This window comes from Homo sapiens, chromosome 11, assembly GCF_000001405.40.
Source record: "Homo sapiens chromosome 11, GRCh38.p14 Primary Assembly".
Classification (NCBI taxonomy): Eukaryota; Metazoa; Chordata; class Mammalia; order Primates; family Hominidae; genus Homo; species Homo sapiens.
In genome coordinates, this window is record NC_000011.10 from 13,382,328 (window position 1) to 13,403,418 (window position 21,091).

The window sequence follows — 21,091 nt, forward strand, 5'->3', positions numbered from 1 at the left end:
GTGCTAGTTATGTGAACTTGTACAACTTTCAAGCCCTAGTTTTCTTTATAATGGAGCTAATAATGGTTAGGGTAGCCAGCATCTTTGCACGAGGTCCTACTGTGAGATAATATATGTGAAAGTGCTTGGCCCAAAATACCACTGACAGATGAAGTCTGAGCTTGGTGTCCCGTGACCCCCGCCCCCCTGCCCACAACACACACACTGCTTGCCAGCTGTCTTCTTAGCTGTTCTTCTGTTATACCTCCAGGTCCTTCCTGCATATTGGATCCACCATCTTCTTAGGGTGGTCTTCCAGTCTCTGCTTCTTAAGTTAACTTTTAGGCACTTGACTTGACTCCTGGTATTACCAAGGATTCTACTTCTTGGTTTTGAAAGGTTATCAGTCCAGTATAGGCTTAAATATTACTCAAAGAACTTTCATATACATTGTCTCATCTCACCTTCACAACATTATAGTGACAAGATCCAGGCTCCTCAGCGTTCGTTTTATAAGTATGGCCCCCAGGCTACAATCCTGGGCTCATGGCTTCCAATTCTTTTCACATCAACAACTACCAGAAATCAAAAGCTGTGCTCTGCATCATAAAGCCCCAGCTATTTTTGAGGCACTTATGAAAATTCTCCCTTTTCTTTGAGAAGAATGGATTATAAAATGGATCTGTGAGAAGAAATTTGGATGTGTTCTCACGAGATGAGTCCTGGGCAGCAGGACTTATAAGAAAAGCAGCTTAAACAAGACAGTTAAAACTGACAGCAGTATTAAATGGTGCACCATACCCAGCCCTTTCCAGTCACTTTCAAATTTGGAAGGTCCAAAAATGAACCATTTAGCCTGCAGTTGTTTGTCAGGATCAAGCTAAAAAGGAAGCCTAAGTGAGCCTCCATAGGTCGCAAGAGAGTACAGACATCCAGAAGCACTAAGGAAAATTCAGATAAAGCAGCAGTTCTACAAATGTCATCTGCAGTCTTTTTCCAGAAAGAGAGGGGGCACAAGATCCTTTTAAGGGTCTGCAAGGTTAAAGCTATTTTCTTAATAACATTAAAACGTTAATTTTTTCCCTGTATTGATAATGTGCACTATTCATACTAAAAGCACGGTTGGGTAAAATTGCTGGCATTTTACAAAAATCAGACAAGTGGCACCAAACTATACTAGTAGTCATTGTATTCTTCACCACCACACACTCACAGTAAAAAAATAGTTTAAAGCCAGTTTCATTTAAGATTGTCCATCATGGCTAGGTGCAGTGGCTCACCCCTGTAATCTCAGCACTCTGGGAAGCTGAGGCAGGCAAACTGCTTGAGTCCAGCAGTTCCAGGCAAGTCTGGGCAACATAGAGAAATCCCATCTCTACTAAAAAATACAAAAAAAATTATCCAGGTGTGGTGGTGTACCTGTAATCCCAGCTACTCCGGGGACTGAGGTGGGAGAATCACCTGAGCCCAGGAGGTTGAGGCTGCAGTGAGCTGAGATTGTGCCACTGTACTCCAGCCTGGGCAACCAGAGTGAGACCCTATCAAGGAGGGAAGGAGGAAAGGAAGGAAGGGAGTGAGGGAGGGAGGGAAAATGTCCATCATTACTTTTATAAAATTCTCAAGCACACATCTTTTTAATGCTCTGTGACAAAATGAGAAGTACACAGAACTTGTGCTGCATACCAAAGTATGATGTTTGTCTCAAAAACTACTTGTGTGATTAAGTTGTGAGTTGAACTAGCTACTATTTTCATTGGACACCATTTTTATTGTATATGGTCATTCGGTTTTGGGTATTTAGAATACTTTTTTTTTGGAAATGAATGAAGTGAACCTGTCACTTTAAGGAAAATGACTGACATTTGTTGCCAATGATAAAATCTGAGCTTTCAAGCAAAAATTGGAATTTTTAGAAAACTTGTCTCTGCTACTTTGACCTTGAGATCTTCCTAAAACTTAAAAAATGTTGTTGATGAGATAGGGAGTATTAATAATAGTGATATTTTGATGCTCTATAATGAAATGTGTCAATATATAGAAGATCTGCATAACTCAGTGAACCAATATTTTGTAACTAAACAATGCAAGGTATTTCAAAATCATGTAAGGGTAAAAGATCCATCCTAAGTGCCAAGATATAAAGAGTACAAAACATTCATTGATATGGTTTCAGATTCCACATTGCAACTCACCTTTAAGAAACTTCTACGTGTCAAGTTTTGAAGTGGTATCAAAAAAGAATACAATTATTTGAAAAGTCTATTAAAATATGCCTCCCTTTTCCAACTACTTATCTGTGGGAGGTTGGATTTCCTTCATATACTTGAATCACAAGACGTATCTAAATAGACTGAATGGAAAAACATATATGAGAATCCAGTTGAAAATTATTAAGCCAGACATTAGATTTGCAAAAATGTAAGATAATACTCTGCCTGGTAATTTTTTGTTACTGTTTTAGAAAATAGTTATTTTTCATTAAAATACTATTCATTATTTATGTTAACATGTAGCGGGTTTATTACATTTAAGAAATCTATTAGTTTTAATTTCAAATACAGTAAATATTGATAAATACAGCCTACATAAGCAAAAGTTCTTTGGAGTCCTCAATGATTTTTTTAAGAGTGTAAAAGGGTCCCTAGACCAAAACGTTGCTGTGGAAATAAAGTAAGTTATAATGCCACCTGCTGGCAAAGCCTGAAATCATTGCTGCTCCTGAAAGCAGCAGCTACCAAACTGTTTCCTCACGTATATCCAGATAGGTCTCAAAGAATGCTCTTCTTTGAGACTCAGCCAGGGGAAGGCAGCTGGGGTGAGTGGGGGAGATTTTGAGACAGAGTTCTCTTACTGAGTAGTAGTAATAATCCTCCCCAGTAGCCTGTCTTAACTTAAACCACAGGTTACTGAAGTTGGCACCTGTAGTATAAGAGATTTACTTCTGTTTTCTTCATTTGACTCCTTGAGCTGTGTCTCTTCACAGCTTGTTAACTCCACTTTTTCTTCTTCAGAAATATCTGTCACTATAAGATGTTTTATTCCCTTATAGGGGAAACGTCTAGCTGGGCTCATTGAAGTTTAGGCATTGGTCCTAAAGAAATATGTGGGCATCATGATTCCAGGCAGTTGAATGCTCTTGGGATTTTATTCAGCCTTTAAGTTGCCTCTGTGGGCTCACTAAAATGGAGAGAAAAGAATAGTTCGGGGGAGAGGTTTTTTCTTACTCTGACCATGTCTGTCTAACAGTTCCTTGTTTGAAATCATCCAATAGAAAACTGAAGCCATTTGAAGCTTCTCCCCACCCCACCCCATGCTTCATTTTCCTTTTGGCATTGCTCATAATACTGATTCAAACTTCACACTTCCCTCCTTTTGTTTGTAGATTTTAAATGGAGGGACTCCAGACATTCCTTCCAGTGGCCTACTATCAGGCCAGGCTCAGGAGAACCCAGGTTATCCATATTCTGATAGTTCTTCTATTCTTGGTAAGTGGCATCATTATTCGTTTCCATTGCAATGAGCTTGCAAAACATCTTACATAAAGTCAATTTTAAGAACTGAACTGTGTGAAACAAGCTAATCCTAGATAAATTTGATAGGAACAGAATAAAAGTTTAAAATTTGTTTAAATCTCTAAAAAGTTGACCAGTATTTGAGTTTTGGTGGAGGTCCAAGTTTGTGCCTGGAACTCAAGAGGAGGCTACAGCTACCTAGACATAGGCTTTCTCCCATGTGGGGCATAATCTCTTCAGAGAGAGAAGGCTAATGAAGGTTCAGAGATAATGCCTAGAAGGGTGATTAGTAAGCATATCAGAAGGTATTAAAAGTCATTAAGTGAAAAGAGTTTGCTTTTCCCATCACATCCATCTTTTTCTCCCCTGGGCTTTCTAGATCTGTTTTTTTCCTAAACTCTCCCTTCCTATTTGCCTTTCTTTTTGTAACTCCTCTTAACTGGTTACATCAGATTATTAAAATAAGCTTGACTCAAATATTTTTAACATTTACTAAATTTTAAGCGCTTTGTACTTATTTCTAAAATGATCATTTGATTCCTTAGAGCTGTCTCTTCACAACGTAACCCCACTTATTTCTTACGTATTTTTAAAAAATTGGTTCTTTCCTCTAAAAAACAGCGATATAAAAAAAGATAGCCATGCAGCCCAAAAAGCAGCATCTCACCCTACCATTAAATGTAACTTTCTTATTAAAAATGTGCTTAGGAATTGCTTACTTAATCTGAAGATGCTTTAAAAAAGAAATCACTGACCAGTCTTTATCTCCTCCCACAGGTGAGAACCCCCACATAGGTATAGACATGATTGACAACGACCAAGGATCAAGTAGTCCCAGTAATGATGAGGCAGCAATGGCTGTCATCATGAGCCTCTTGGAAGCAGATGCTGGACTGGGTGGCCCTGTTGACTTTAGTGACTTGCCATGGCCGCTGTAAACACTACATGTTGCTTTGGCAACAGCTATAGTATCAAAGTGCATTACTGGTGGAGTTTTACAGTCTGTGAAGCTTACTGGATAAGGAGAGAATAGCTTTTATGTACTGACTTCATAAAAGCCATCTCAGAGCCATTGATACAAGTCAATCTTACTATATGTAACTTCAGACAAAGTGGAACTAAGCCTGCTCCAGTGTTTCCTCATCATTGATTATTGGGCTAGCTGTGGATAGCTTGCATTAATTGTATATTTTGGATTCTGTTTGTGTTGAATTTTTTAATCATTGTGCACAGAAGCATCATTGGTAGCTTTTATATGCAAATGGTCATTTCAGATGTATGGTGTTTTTACACTACAAAGAAGTCCCCCATGTGGATATTTCTTATACTAATTGTATCATAAAGCCGTTTATTCTTCCTTGTAAGAATCCTTTACTATAAATATGGGTTAAAGTATAATGTACTAGACAGTTAAATATTTTTAATAAATGTTTCCCTTGTTCTATAAATACTGTTCACATTTCAAATAATTAGAAAAAAAATCCTACGTGTTGCAGGGCTGGATTATAAGTTTCTACAGTGGGTGTTCAAGGATGATCTACGCCAGTAGCATTTGTGGTGCTTTTCTGGCCTTCATAACGATTCTGGGCTTGCATAATTTCCCCATGCTACTAGCTTAGCTGTGTTGTTAAAATAGTTCATTTATAAATTGTTGCAATTTTAATTTATGTGAGAACAAAGATGTTACTGCTTATCCACAAACATCGAATCCTCTGAAATTATAAATTCAAGATTATATTTAACAAATTGGCTTCTCTAATGCTGCACCTCTCTAATACTACTTCAGTTATATAGTAAGTGACCCCAGTCCTAAAGCACCTAAATATTTGATCCCTTCTTGAATTGGACCACAGAATATTTAGAATAGCATTTGCATAAATAATTTGCTAAGCAAAGTAGCATGGTATAATGGAAAAAGCACTGAACTAGTATGAGAAACTGGCTCTGAAACTTAGGGTGACTATATGACCTAGTAAAGTCATTTTGCCCTTCATATCAAGTTGGACTAGAAAATACTCTTTTCAGCTCTAATAAATATTGTTTTGATTTATAGTACATTTTATAATTAGGGAATTTAAATGCCTCATCACACATATAGTAAAAGTTCCTTGAGCTACTATTTCTAATAATACTTACACCACCGAGATGGGAAATTATGAGACTAAAAATCTGGTCAATGTGGTTATAAATTTGGTCAGAAACATTAAAACAATGGAATTTTATTTTGATGAAAAACTCAAGTTTACAATCATTTAGTAAATGAAGAGCAAACACTTCATTTTCCTATCCCATAACTCTTAAGAAAAAAAAAGCATTAGTAAATAAATATCTGTGAACAGATTAAGGGTAAGGCAGACTGGATAATAAACCACCTCTGACATTCACACTCCCTGCATGTGACTCACTCTAAAGGGTGAAATGGCTCTGGAGATAACTGAACTGGTAAGATATGGGCATTAAATCTCATCCTGATCATTCAGATAAGCCCAAGATAAATACTTTTTGCTCATCAAGGGCAGCAAACTATACAAATTGTACTGGAGGAATACTTTGACAGAAGCACTTAAATTATATTGTGCATCACAACTATAAAATGGCTTGAACATTTCCATTTAACCACCATTTATAAAGTGCAACTATATATTACTCTGCATTTTATCTGAGGTGTGATGAATATCAGTCCAAACTGAAAGTACCCCAGCTGCCAATTTCCACCACTTCTGAAAAGACCTAGCTGTGTGAAAAAGGACCATCCCCCATACAAAGAACCAATTTCACAAACCTACTGGTAAACAAATACATTTACAACTGGAACTTCAAAATGCTAGAGTTGTACTCATTTAAAAAAAAACCATTCAGCTACCTTTGGTCTTTAAAAAAGCCTACACTGCAATATCCTAAACATTGTTATGTGCATCTCACAATGAAGAAGAGTGGCCTTGCAGTGCAGAATGAGGAGAGTACAACGTCACTGTGAAGAGTAGCATGCTATGGTTTCAAGGAAGATCAGCATCACAGCATTGGATTCTGTGCATCAGGATCGAGGTCACTGTTGCCAGAAGGGGGATGGATAGGGAGAATATCCAGCTCATCCACTTGTGGAGTTGGATGCATGACTACCAGCTGGTCCTGGGGAATGTCTGCTGCAGCTGCTGCAAGATTGGTGATAGATTTACTCTTTACACACTGAAAGTCTACATGCCGACTCTTTCCTTCTTCCTTCTCCCAGGACATTCGAATAAAGGGTCTTTGGACATAGTTGTAGATCACTTCTGGGCGGCCTCCAGGCCTTTTCTTTACTTTTTCTTTGTAGGTAGGATAACCTGAAAGAAAGAAAGATTTTAAAAACTGAGGAGACACACACAGACCTCTCACCCAATTTCGCCTTAGAAAGCTTTTCTGCTATAGATCCTAAAGAAACAAATTTAAAACAAAGAAGTGAAAACAATATTCCATCCACCTACTCATCAGTTCATGAGCCAGACATGAAAACCCTACTGATGTAATTCATAAAATCTTCTATCATTCTTTCAATTACTCAATATATCAACCATCAAAAAAACATTATTAAAGTAGGAGTATGTTGGAGCAGATCTTGGTCTCTAGCTATGTATCCTTTTTTTTTTTTGACATGGAGTCTCACTTTGTCACCCAGGCTGGAGTGCCATGTGTGACCTTGGTTTACTGCAACCTCTGCTTCCCAGGTTCAAGCAATTCTCCCACCTCAGTCTCCAGAGTAGCGCGGATTACAGGCATGTGCCACCATGCCCGGCTAATTTTTGTGTTTTTAGTAGAGGGGGGGTTTCACCACGTTGCCCAGGCTGGTCTCGAACTCCTGACCTCAAGTGATCTGCCTCGGCCTCCCAAATTGCTGGGATTACAGGCGCAAGCCACCATGCCGGCCTCTAGCTACGTATCCTTATATTCTCGTCACAGGATTACCCGGCCTACAGGCCTGGAATTTAGCCACATTAGCCTGCTAGTTTCCTTAAACCTACATCTCGTCTTTATATTGCTCTGAGTTTTTTCTTTTCTTTTTGTTAAATGAAAAAGCTGTACAGCTGTCCAGGTGGTTCTAGATACTTCTGCATCTAGATCAGCAAGGCCAATATTTTAACCTCCCATATCATTTTAACATTACTACTCCCAACAACCAAGCATTCAATTTACAGTCACATTCCCGAAGCAGCGTTCCCTGATTAATAGTACCTAATATTACCTTCCTCTTTTGGAACATAGTCACTTAAAAGTAAGGACAACCCTAGATTTGAAAAAAAAAATTAGTTATTTACTAGTAAGGCCACTTCTCCAAAGATCAACTGTCCTTAAGAAACTATTATAGACCCCTTCCCTCCTTTCTTCTAGTAAGAATTAACTAGTTTGGGATTGGCAAACATTTTCTGTAAAGGTCCAGAGTAAATACTTCAGGCTTGTAGGCCACATGGTTTCTACTAGAGCTACTTTTCACTCTGCCACTGTAAAGTGAAATCAGCCACAGAGAATACGTAAATGAATGAGCACGTGTATGTTTTTCTTTTTTTTTTTTGGAGATAGAGTCTCTGTCACCCAGGCTGGAATGCAGTGGTGCTGTCTCGGCTCACTGCAACTTCTGTCTTCCGGGTTCAAGAGATTCTCCTGCCTCAGCCTCTCGAGTAGCTGGGACTACAGGCGCCTGCCACCACACCTGGCTAATTTTTGTATTGTTGGTAGAGATGGGGTTTCACCATGTTGGCCAGGATGATCTCAAACTCCCGACCTCCAGTGATCCTCGGCTTCCCATAGTGCTGGGATTACAGGTGTGAGCCACTGCGCCCAGCCACATGTGTATGTTTCAATAAAACTTTATAAAAAAGAGGCAATGAGCTGATTTTGGCCCATAGGCCAAAGTTAGACCATAGTTAGAATCAGAAAAAATAGAATGGTCTCACATAGTAGGGGATCAATTAATGATTACTGCATAAGGGAATGCATGTAGGCATCATTGGTAGCTAGTACAAATAGCCATGTGTGGAGTATGTGTGTATGTGGTGGGGGTGAGATAGGTGCAGCAGGTGAACAAAACTGAAAATCTAAAAACCTGTAGAATGTCTTCATTTCATACTTTTGGTCAATTACCTCTGAAGGCAGCACCAGAAATCAGAAAGGTCTCCATCTCCATTCCCTTGTCCTTGATTCCTCCTGGACTATTAGAAAGACTTTAAAATTCCCATCTCCTTGTATTCTGTCCCCACACAAAATAACCACTCCAGACAAATGTAATCATATTACAATCCTTGCTTAAAAACTACCAATGGTTTCCTCGTGCTTAATTGGAAGGTCTGTACTCCTCAGAATATTATACAAGGCTTTTTTTACAGCCTGGTTCCATATCTACTTACTGTCATCTACTATCATGCTACACTCTAACTCTAGAGTTCTTAAATACACCTGCCATATTAAGCTTTCCCCAAACATGCTTTTACACAAATTGTTCTGCTGCCTCTTCCCTCTCAGCCTCCTGATCCCTGCGCTCCACCTTCTTTTATCCCTGGCAAAAACATTAAGACTCTCCACACAGTTAATCATTCACTTCTTATGCTCCATAGCACTCCCATATGTTAACAATACTTAACAGAACTAAACTGTAACTAAACTGTAATTACCTTTTTGTATGTCTGACTCTCTGACCTAAATAATGAGTTCCTATATGGCTTTGACTTTATGAACAATTTGTTGGTGTATCCTCAGTGCCTAGCATAGTACCTGATACACTGCAGGTGCTAAACAAATATTTGAACAAAGAGTGAATGAACTACCAGGATATGCCAGTTATAAGTAATAACCTCTTCCAATATCCATCTTACTCAACATTTTTTCCTTTAAAAATAAAGTAAAATCAGCCCTTTGGGAGGCCAAGGCAGGCGGATCATGAGGTCAAGAGATCGAGTCCATCCTGACCAACATGGTGAAACCCCATCTCTACTAAAAATACAAAAATTAGCTGGGTGTGGTGGCGTGCGCCTGTAGTCCCAGCTACTCGGGAGGCTGAGACAGGAGAATCACTTGAACCCAGGAGGCGGAGGCTGCAGTGAGCTGAGGTTGCGCCACCGCATTCCAGCCTGGTGACAGAGCGAGACCCTGTCAGATAGATGGATAAATAGATAGACAGAAGACAGACAGACAGACAGACAGGGCAAGCCTGCCCCTGACTTGCAGATTTACCAACCTATTCAGTCAACAGTTAATGGTTTAGCAGCTACTGCATCACAAAATTGTAATGCCAGATCACTACCTTAAGGTGTTTATGGTCTATTGAGAGTCATTAAATTGTTCATAAAGTCAAAGAATATTCCAAAGAGCAAATATACGTACATAAGAGAAAGTGTTAAAGCAATAGTGGAAGCGTAAAGAATTCAGAAGATGAATGAGATTCTAATGGACTAAAATAGAAAAAGCTTCTTGAATGCCTTCCTTAATCTTCATGGATGAGCAAGATTGGGATGGGCAGAAACAAGGGGAGTGCAAGGTAGGCAGACAGAGTATCATTCTAAGGAGAGAATGGCATCAGGTAAGCTAGAGAGGCAGGAACACAGAAGATGGTTTAGGAGACCCTAACACATGTATGACTGGAGCAGAAAGTGTACTGGGAAATAGCTGGAGGTAACATTAGAAGACAGATTATGGTCAAATGGAGGACAGCCATGAGTAAATTCTACTCTTTAATAAAGAGTAAATTATACTCTTTATTAAAAGAGAAGCTCAGATTTTTTTTTTTAGCTTAGTTTGTTCAAATCTTGCAGAGAACAAAATTTTGTATGCAGTTCCAGAAACATGGAATTGGGAAATGAGAGGTTCTGTATATAGGTGAACTTTCAGTGATAAGAGCCAGTCCTACTACTGTCTTGCCATTCCTGCCCAGGATGCAGAGGGTAGAATAATTCACAATCCCATCCAATTAAAGACTTCATTACTTTGCCTCGCATTTCCTATATTCTATGGGAACTGTAATTCCACAATTATTTTAGAGTTTGTTGTCTTAAACTTCAGGTTCTGTTCTAAGTCTCAGCCAATTACTCTGACAGAAGAGAGCTTTCTACTGAGTTCAGGACAAGGACTAATGATGGGAGTTAAGGCCACATCCAATATGGTCTGCTCGATGGGGTAGCAGTAGTCCTAAACTGCCTTAAGAACCCAACCCTAGGAGGTTGAGAGATGTTGTTCCATTAAGGGATAAGTGAAACAAACAAAATGAAAAACCCCAAAGAAGTGCCTTTTGGTGGAATTGTGGTGTGGAGAATGATTTAGGTAAGAATTATTTGTGCTTTCCCACAACACATTTGTGTTTAACAACAGCAATAAACCCAAAAAGCCTGCTTAAAAGTAAGTAGAAGAGGCCTTAGGTAGGCCTGACTATAGCAATCTCTCAATATGAATATGGGACCACAGAGCTAAAATTATTTTTTGAATACTTCCGGCCTTATATTTCACCTTTTCTCACATATCCAAGTTCTCTCTGGTCCTCCTCATGTCTCTTATACACCAACCCAATCTAGCTCCCATAAAAGTCAACACATTTAATATTCTAATAAACTCTTTTTAAGGGACTTGGGATTGGTATGGCAGGGGCATAGAAATGGTGGGGGAGGATAGTAACAAAATGGCTAACTCGGAAATCTCAATTTTTTTTCTGTAATTCCAGGAAAGTCTCAACACTTCTGCTGGGGTTATGACTATTCTACTTATTTTTTCAAGAGGTAAAAGTAATAGACTTGAAAAGAAAATACGGCTATTGGTGTACATATTAGTGGAGAAAGAAAAGAGTGCTTCAGTACATAGAAGCAGTTATTGAAAAAAAGAACAGAAGAGCCTGGTTAGTTACCGTCCTGCCAAAGTCAAGCCCAATATCATAGATTGTAGTACACAGGCAACTAATATTGGCTATTTAAGTGGAAATTTTTTTAATTTTAAATTTTTAATTTTTAAAATTTCTACTTAAAATAATATTTCAAAACCACTCACAGACTCAAATCACACAGACTTGGATTCAAGACCTGGCTCTGCTATTTATTCCCCAAAAAACTTTAATAAGTATTTAACCTTTTAAGCTTTAGCTTCTTTCTCTTAAAAACAGAGATAATGATAGCTAACCAAATAACCTCACTAGGTAGAGGAAAGCTGTTTTACAAAATACCAGCTGATAAATGTAAAAGGAATGATAAATGAGAAAATTATCATTTTGCAATCCTTAATGAAATTACAAATTCAGGCAAAAATTATCAACTAGAATTTAAAATTTTTAGGTAATGATTAGCGGGGAGCTGAACATTCTTAGTGTCAAAATAATACCGCACAAAGGAGCATCTTAATCTTATAATGGAGAGATGAGGTTGTCACCCACAGATATGGTTTGGCTCTGTGTTCCCATCCAAATCTCATTACAAACTGTAATCCCAACGTGTCAGGAGAGGGGCCTGGTGGGAGGTGTTTGAATCATGGCGGCAGTTTCTACCATGCTGTTCTTGTGATAGTGAGTGCTCATGAGATCTGACGGTTTAAAAGTATGTGGCAGTTCCTTCACTCTCTCCTGCCACCATGTGAAGAAGGTCCTTGCTTCCTCTTTGCCTTCTGCCATGATTGTAAGTTTCCTGAGGCCTCCCAGTCATGCTTCCTGTTAAGCCTGCGGAATTGTGCACCAAATAAACCTCTTTGCTTCTTCATAAAAGACCCACTTTCAGGTAGTTCTTTTTATTTTTTTATTATTATTATACTTTAAGTTTTAGGGTACACGTGCACAACGTGCAGGTTTATTACATATTTATACATGTGCCATGTTGGTGTGCTGCACCCATTAACTCGTCATTTAGCATTAGCTATATCTCCTAATGCTATCCCTCCGCCCTCCCCCAACCCCACAACAGTCCCGTGTGTGATGTTGCCCTTCCTGTGTCCATGTGTTCTCATTGTTCAATTCCCACCTATGAGTGAGACCATGCGGTGTTTGGCTTTGTCCTTGCGATAGTTTGCTGAGAATGATGGTTTCCAGCCTCATCCGTGTCCCTACAAAGGACATGAACTCATCATTTTTTATGGCTGCATAGTATTCCATGGTGTGTATGTGCCACATTTTCTTAATCCAGTCTATCATTGTTGGACATTTGGGTTGGTTCCAAGTCTGTGCTATTGTGAATAGTGCCGCAATAAACATACGTGTGCATGTGTCTTTATAGCAGCATGATTTATAGTCCTTTGGGTATATACCCAGTAACGGGATGGCTGGGTCAAATGGTATTTCTAGTTCTAGATCCATGAGGAATCGCCACACCAACTTCCACAATGGTTGAACTAGTTTACAGTCCCACCAACAGTGTAAAAGTGTTCCTATTTCTCCACATCCTCTCCAGCACCTGTTGTTTCCTGACTTTTTAATGATTGCCATTCTAACTGGTGTGAGATGGTATCTCATTGTGGTTTTGATTTGCATTTCTCTGATGGCCAGTGATGATGAGCTTTTTTTCATGTGTTTTTTGGCTGCATAAATGTCTTCCTTTGAGAAGTGTCTGTTCATATCCTTTGCCCACTTTTTGATGGGGTTGTTTTTTTCTTGTAAATTTGTTTGAGTTCATTGTAGATTCTGGATATTAGCCCTTTGTCAGATGAGTAGGTTGCAAAAATTTTCTCCCATCCTGTAGGTTGCCTGTTCACTCTGATGGTGGTTTCTTTTGCTGTGCAGAAGCTCTTTAGTTTAATTGATCCAATTTGTCAATTTTGGCTTTTGTTGCCATTGCTTTTGGTGTTTTAGACATGAAGTCCTTGCCCATGCCTATGTCCTGATTGGTATTGCCTAGGTTTTCTTCTAGGGTTTTTATGGTTTTAGGTCTAACATGTAAGTCTTTAATCCATCTTGAATTAATTTTTGTATAAGGTGTAAGGAAGGGATCCAGTTTCAGCTTTCTACATATGGCTAGCCAGTTTTCCCAGCACCATCTATTAAATAGGGAATCCTTTCGCCATTGCTTGTTTTTGTCAGGTTTGTCAAAGATCAGATAGTTGTAGATATGCGGCGTTATTTCTGAGGGCTCTGTTCTGTTCCATTGGTCTGTATCTCTGTTTTGGTACCAGTACCATGCTGTTTTTGTTACTGCAGCCTTGTAGTATAGTTTGAAGTCAGGTAGCGTGATGCCTCCAGCTTTGTTCTTTTGGCTTAGGATTGACTTGGCAATGCGGGCTCTTTTTTGGTTCCATATGAACTTTAAAGTAGTTTTTTCCAATTCTGTGAAGAAAGTCATTGGTAGCTTGATGGGGATGGCATTGAATCTGTAAATTACCTTGAGCAGTATGGCCATTTTCACGATATTGATTCTTCCTACCCATGAGCATGGAATGTTCTTCCATTTGTTTGTATCCTCTTTTATTTCACTGAGCAGTGGTTTGTAGTTCTCCTTGAAGAGGTCCTTCACATCCCTTGTAAGTTGGATTCCTAGGTATTTTACTCTCTTTGAAGCAATTGTGAATGGGAGTTCACTCATGATTTGGCTCTCTGTTTGTCTGTTATTGGTGTATAAGAATGCTTGTTGAGTTTTGCACATTGATTTTGTATCCTGAGACTTTGCTGAAGTTGCTTATCAGCTTAAGGAGATTTTGGGCTGAGACAATGGGGTTTTCTAGATATACAATCATGTCATCTGCAAACAGGGACAATTTGGCTTCCTCTTTTCCTAACTGAATACCCTTTATTTCCTTCTCCTGCTTAACTGCCCTGGCCAGAACTTCCAACACTATGGTGAATAGTTGTGGTGAGAGAGGGCATCCCTTTCTTGTGCCAGTTTTCAAAGGGAATGCTTCCAGTTTTTGCCCATTCAGTATGATACTGGCTGTGGGTTTGTCATAGATAGCTCTTATTATTTTGAGATACGTTCCATCAATATCTAATTTATTGAGAGTTTTTAGCATGAAGTGTTGTTGAATTTTATCAAAGGCCTTTTCTGCATCTATTGAGATAATCATGTGTTTTTTGTCTTTGGTTCTGTTTATATGCTGGATTACGTTTATTGATTTTTGCATGTGGAACCAGCCTTGCATCCCAGGGATGAAGCCCACTTGATCATGGTGGATAAGCTTTTTGATGTGTTGCTGGATTCGGTTTGCCAGAATTTTATTGAGGAGTTTTGCATCAATGTTCATCAGGGATATTGGTCTAAAATTCTCTTTTCTGGTTGTGTCTCTGCCAGGCTTTGGTATCAGGATGATGCTGGCCTCATAAAATGAGTTAGGAAAGATTCCATCTTTTTCTATTGATTGGAATAGTTTCAGAAGGAATGGTACCAGCTCCTCCTTGTACCTCTGGTAGAATTTGTCTGTGAATCCATCTGGTCATGGACTTTTTTTAGTTGGTAAGCTATTAATTATTGCCTCAATTTCAGAGCCTGTTATTGGTCTATTCAGAGATTCAACTTCTTCCTGGTTTAGTCTTGGGAGAGTGTATGTGTCCAGGAATTTATCCATTTCTTTTAGATTTTCTAGTTTATTTGCATAGAGGTGTTTATAGTATTCTCTGATGGTAGTTTGTATTTCTGTGGGATTGGTGGTGATATCCCTTTTAACATTTTTTATTGCGTCTATTTGATTCTTCTCTCTTTTCTTCTTTGTTTGTCTTGCTAGCAGTCTATCAATTTTGTTGATCCTTTCAAAAAACCAGCTCCTGGATTCATTGATTTTTTGAAGGGTTTTTTGTGTCTCTATCTCCTTCAATTCTGCTCTGATCTTAGTTATTTCTTGCCTTCTGCCAGCTTTTGAATGTGTTTGCTCTTGCTTCTCTAGTTCTTTTAATTGTGATGTTAGGGTGTCAATTTTAGATCTTTCCTGCTTTCTCTTGTGGGCATTTAGTGCTATAAATTTCCCTCTACACACTGCTTTGAATGTGTCCCAGAGATTCTGGTATGTTGTGTCTTTTTTCTCATTGGTTTCAAAGTACAGCTTTATGTCTGCCTTCATTTCGTTATGTACCCAGTAGTCATTCAGGAGAAGGTTGTTCAGTTTCCATGTAGTTGAGTGGTTTTGAGTGAGTTTCTTAATCCTGAGTTCTAGTTGGATTGCACTGTGGTCTAAGAGACAGTTTGTTATAATTTCTGTTCTTTTACATTTGCTGAGGAGTGCTTTACTTCCAACTATGTGGTCAATTTTGGAATAGGTGTGGTGTGGTGCTGAAAAGAATGTATATTCTGTTGATTTGGGGTGGGGAATTCTGTAGATGTCTATTAGGTCTGCTTGGTGCAGAGCTGAGTTCAATTCCTGGATATCCTTGTTAACTTTCTGTCTCATTGATCTGTCTAATGTTGACAGTGGGGTGTTAAAGTCTCCCATTATTATTGTGTGGGAGTCTAAGTCTCTTTGTAGGTCACTCAGGACTTGCTTTATGAATCTGGGTGCTCCTCTATTGGGTGCATATATATTTAGGATAGTTAGCTCTTCTTGTTGAATTGATCCCTTTACCATTATGTAATGGCCTTCTTTGTCTCTTTTGATCTTTGTTGGTTTAAAGTCTGTTTTATCAGAGACTAGGATTGAAACCCCTGCCTTTTTTTGTTTTCCATTTGCTTGGTAGATCTTCCTCCATCCCTTTATTTTGAGCCTATGTGTGTCTCTGCATGTGAGATGGGTCTCCTGAATACAGCACACTGATGGGTCTTGACTCTTTATCCAATTTGCCAGTCTGTGTCTTTTAATTAGAGCATTTAGCCCATTTACATTTAATGTTAATATTGTTATGTGTGAATTTGATCCTGTCATTATGATGTTAGCTGGTTATTTTGTTCATTAGTTGATGCAGTTTCTTCCTAGCCTTGATGGTGTTTACAATTTGGCATGTTTTTGCAGTGGCTGGTACTGGTTGTTCCTTCCCATATTTAGTGCTTCCTTCAGGAGCTCTTGTAGGGCAGGCCTGGTGGTGACAAAATCTCTCAGCATTTGCTTGTCTGTAAAGGATTTTATTTCTCCTTCACTTATGAAGCTTAGTTTGGCTGGATATGAAATTCTGGGTTGAAAATTCTTTTCTTTAAGAATGTTGAATATTGGCCCCCACTCTCTTCTGGCTTGTAGAGTTTCTGCTGAGAGATCAGCTGTTAGTCTGATGGGCTTCCCTTTGTGGGTTACCCGACCTTTCTCTCTGGCTGCCCTTAACATTTTTTCCTTCATTTCAACTTTGGTGAATCTGACAATTACGTGTCTTGGAGTTAGTTGCTCTTCTCGAGGAGTATCTTTGTGGCGTTCTCTGTATTTCCTGAATTTGAATGTTGGCCTTCCTTGCTAGATTGGGGAAGTTCTCCTGGATAATATCCTGCAGAGTGTTTTCCAACTTGGTTCCATTCTCCCCATCACTTTCAGGTACACCAATGAGACGTAGATTTGGTCTTTTCACATAGTCCCATATTTCTTGGAGGCTTTGTTCGTTTCTTTTTATTCTTTTTTCTCTAAACTTCTCTTCACGCTTCATTTCATTCATTTTGTCTTCCATCGCTGATACCCTTTCTTCCAGTTGATCGCATCGGCTACTGAGGCTTGTGCATTCGTCACGTAGTTCTCGTGCCGTGGCTTTCAGCTCCATCAGGTCCTTTAAGAACTTCTCTGCATTGGTTATTCTAGTTAGCCATTCGTCTAATTTTTTTTCAAAGTTTTTAACTTCTTTGCCATTGGATTGAACTTCCTCCTTTAGCTCGGAGTAGTTTGATCTTCTGAAGCCTTCCTCTCTCAACTCGTCAAAGTCATTCTCCATTCAGCTTTGTTCCGTTGCTGGTGAGGAGCTGCATTCCTTTGGAGGAGGAGAGGCGCTCTGATTTTTAGAGTTTCCGGTTTTGCTGCTCTGTTTTTTCCCCATCTTTGTGGTTTTATCTACCTTTGGTCTTTGATGATGGTGACGTACAGATGGGTTTTTGGTGTGGATGTCCTTTCTGTTTGTTAGTTTTCCTTCTAACAGACAGGACCCTCAGCAGCAGGTCTGTTGGAGTTTACTGGAGGTCCACTCCAGACCCTGTTTACCTTGGTATCAGCAGCAGTGCCTACAGAACAGCAGATATTGGTGAACTGCAAATGCTGCTGCCTGATCGTTCCTCTGGAAGTTTTCTCTCAGAGGAGTACCCGGCCGTGTGAGGTGTCAGTCCGCCCCTACTGGGGGGTGCCTCCCAGTTAGGCTACTCGGGGCTCAGGGACCCACTTCAGGAGGCAGTCTGCCCGTTCTCAGATCTCAAGCTGTGTGCTGGGAGAACCACTACTCTCTTCAAAGCTGTCAGACAGGGACATTTAAGTCTGCAGAGGTTATTGCTGTCTTTTGTTTGTCTGTGCCCTGCCCCCAAAGGGGGAGCCTACAGAGGCAGGCAGGCCTCCTTGAGCTGTGGTGGGCTCCACCCAGTTCGAGCTTCCAGGCCGATTTGTTTACCTACTTAAGTCTGAGCAATGGCGGGTGCCCCTCCCCCAGCCTCGCTGCCACCTTGCAGTTTGATCTCAGACTGCTGTGCTAGCAATGAGCAAGGCTCCGTGGGTGTAGGACCCTCAGAGCCAGGTGTGGGATATAATCTCCTGGTGTGCCGTTTGTGAAGCCCGTTGGAAAAGTGCAGTATTAGGGTGGGAGTGACCCGATTTTCCAGGTGCTGTCTGTCACCCCTTTCTTTGACTAGGAAAGGGAATTCCCTGACCCCTTGTGCTTCCCAGGTGAGGCGATGCCTCGCCCTGCTTCGGCTCACGCACGGTGCGCTGCACCCACTGTCCTGCACCCACTGTCCGGCACTCCCCAGTGAGATGAACCTGGTACCTCAGTTGGAAATGCAGAAATCACCCATTTTCTGCGTCGCTCACGCTGGAAGCTGTAGACTGGAGCTGTTCCTATTCGGCCATCTTGGCTCCACCCCCCAGAGGTAGTTCTTTAAAGCCGTGAGAAAACGGACTAATACACGGACTAAGCCTTTAATCTAACTTACAGTTCACAGAAATTACAGAAGAGAGGGACTAAACTGAAGAACACACCAAGGAAATAATAGGGCAAATCCAGAAGTGGGACCTTCTACAAGACAACTGGCCCAGACTCTTCAATAGGACAATATCATAAATAAGGAACTATTCTAGATTGAGAAATTTGACAAAACAAGCAGTTAGTTGTAAGATGTGGTCCCAGATTGAATGTTGGTTTAGAGAAAACAGCTAAAAGGAAATTTGGGGAGACCACTGAGAAATTTTAATATGGATTGATTCAAATAAAGTATTCTTTAATTTTGTTGGGTATGTTAAAATATTTTTAGAGCTGCATATTAAAATATTTAGGAGTGAAATATTATATATCAGATATATATATATTACATTATATATATATACACACACACATATAATGTACTATTTTAAATGAATTTTATATGAGGTTAATAGTAACTAGTACTTGTTATAGGTCCTTACAATTATATGAAAATTCATTTAAGAGTTATGGCCCAATGCTTTAGAGCACTGCTATTATCTCCCTGTGACAGAGAAAGAAGTCCTCACTTTCAGTAACTAATTTACATATAGCTTTTCCATAAATCATTTATTTACTATTTGAGAACCACCTATACCTAGGAACTAGACCACATGTTAGGTATGCAATATGCAACTTGACTTCTCTCAAGGAGCTCACAGTCTATGACCTGAACAGAGTATTATTTAGCAAATTATTCTAACGAATAATTTCACAGAGGTTCCAAGAAGGTTTCAGAGGATTTAAAGGATGGATAATAGTCGCCATGTAGAGAAAGAGGAAGTAGAGTGGGAAGGAAGTAATTTCTAGTAAATAATATTTGATTATCACAACTATCCTCTTGGGAAGGAAATAATTTCTAATAAATAATATTTGATTATCACAACTATCCTCTAAGATATACAGAGTATTACACTCACTACTAAGATAAAGGAAACTGATGCTCAGAAAGGCTGAGGGACTTACCTTAAGACACTTGGCCAGTATACTCCTTATCATGGCCTATAAGACCCTGCATCTTCTGATCCTACTTTATCTCTTCTACTAACTTTCAGACCAACTATATCTCTTCAAATCTCCTCCTCATTTATTATACCAGACATATGTATGTTTTCTGTACCACAAATATAGTAAGCTCATTCCTACCTCAACACTTTTGCACTTGCTATTTTCTCCGTCTAGAACCATTTTTGTCACCAGGCCTCCCCTTGAATGTCTTCTTCTCAGGAGGCCTTCCCTGTCCTCCCAATCTAAAGTAGCTCCCAGTGCCTTCTCTCTAGCTCTAAGACCAAGTAGCTAAATCTCACTGTTTACAAAGTAATGAACTAGGACACTAGACCAATGCTTCATATATCAGCAATTCCACTGCTTTTTAAGCCCAAAGTCTCTGCCCCTTCCCACACAAAAATCCTGTTTCTGGTTATTCTTCCTATATATCTCAGCAGCCCATTACTATTCTCCAACAGTTCAATCAGGTAGGTCAATGATCAACACTATTATCTTCATTATCACCATCACAAACATATACTGCAAACTTACTATGTACTAGGCAGTGTTTTAAGTGTTTTTCATATATTAATTCATTCTATCCTTACAAAAACCTTATAAAGTACTCATTAATGCTCTCATTTTAGAGGAAAGAAACTGAGGCACAGAATTTTTAAGTGCCTTGGCCAAGGTCACAGGATTTGAACATAAGTCACAGGATTTGAATATAAGTAATCTGGCTCCAAAGCTTTTACTCTTTACATTGTCATGTTATATCAATTAAGACACTTTGTTCCTCTTATGGGTATTTTAAAATAAAAGAGGCATCTGATAAAACATTACAGAAAAATTATTTTAATTCATAAAGTAAGCTATCTAAAACTCTGTGCATTTACATAAGATGAAAGAATATTTCATAATTTGTACTTACCTTGAAAATAAGCTATTATCATACTTTAAGACATAAGTAAGCTACTAGTAGTGCTGCTTTTACATGAATTTTAAGGAAGTAATTTTTAATTCTGTTGGGCTTCAATGATCACTACTATGCAAAAAGCCCTGCCAATCCTATGGGAATGTACATATATTCATGTCCACACACACCACATGGGCTTTGTCAAAAATGAATTAGGGCAAACTAGGGCAGAAAAAGACAAATTCATATCTCTATCACTAGAGAATCTTATGGAATAACAATTTCTAATGGCCTTTTATCTGTCTTCTAAGTGCAGCTGATTTTTGTTATTTATAGGTCTACTGCATAAGCATGTGGTAATCATTTGTCAGAGTTTTTCTCAAAGTATTCCAACTGTATTCTAAATAAGATCCAATTGTTTTTAACCTTTTTGTTTTAAAAAGAAAACTAATAGAAAATAATGAAAATGTCTTACCTTCTATTCCCAATCTAATCTTCTTAAGACCCCTCTCCTTCAAAACTGACTTGGCCACATCTCTGTTTTCAATATACTTGAAAAATCTATATAATTTTGTGCTATAAATAACTAGAAACAAAAAGAAAAATATTATTGTATTAAAATTAAAGGATTTAGAGATGAACTTAAATTTATCTTGCTCATCAAAGGGGCCTAACAGTCCTAAAAGCCCAAATAATGGATGCAGTAATGCCAAAGGATGACTAGCC

At 39.0% G+C, this 21,091-nt stretch overlaps 2 protein-coding genes across 61 annotated transcripts in view; one reads left to right on the top strand and one right to left on the bottom strand.

The window, feature by feature from the left end:
• Positions 1-4,939, top strand: part of BMAL1 (basic helix-loop-helix ARNT like 1) — a 110,615-nt gene extending 105,676 nt beyond the window's left edge. For 44 of the 46 annotated variants that reach the window (NR_147788.2, NR_147790.2, NR_147791.2 and 41 more), the window contains 2 exons: positions 3,362-3,464; positions 4,269-4,939. Coding sequence is in view for 39 of the 46 variants with exons in the window: in NM_001351804.1 (NP_001338733.1) it covers positions 3,362-3,464; positions 4,269-4,429 (264 nt within the window). In the remaining 7 variants the exon portion in view is untranslated. Of the gene's footprint in view, positions 1-2,152; positions 2,398-3,361; positions 3,465-4,268 lie in introns of all 46 variants that reach the window. The other 2 variants (NR_147789.2, NR_147787.2) reach the window with 1 other exon arrangement.
• A 741-nt stretch (positions 4,940-5,680) lies between these two features.
• The window catches only part of BTBD10 (BTB domain containing 10), a 75,215-nt gene continuing 59,804 nt past the window's right edge, over positions 5,681-21,091 (bottom strand). For 12 of the 15 annotated variants that reach the window (XM_017018410.2, XM_024448713.2, XM_024448712.2 and 9 more), the window contains 2 exons: positions 20,841-20,951; positions 5,681-6,814 (listed from right to left, as the gene is read on the bottom strand). In XM_017018410.2, the coding sequence (XP_016873899.1) occupies positions 6,504-6,814; positions 20,841-20,951 (422 nt within the window). In that variant the 3' untranslated portion in view covers positions 5,681-6,503. Of the gene's footprint in view, positions 6,815-20,840; positions 20,952-21,091 lie in introns of those variants that run through there. The other 3 variants (XM_047427698.1, XM_047427697.1, XM_047427696.1) reach the window with 1 other exon arrangement.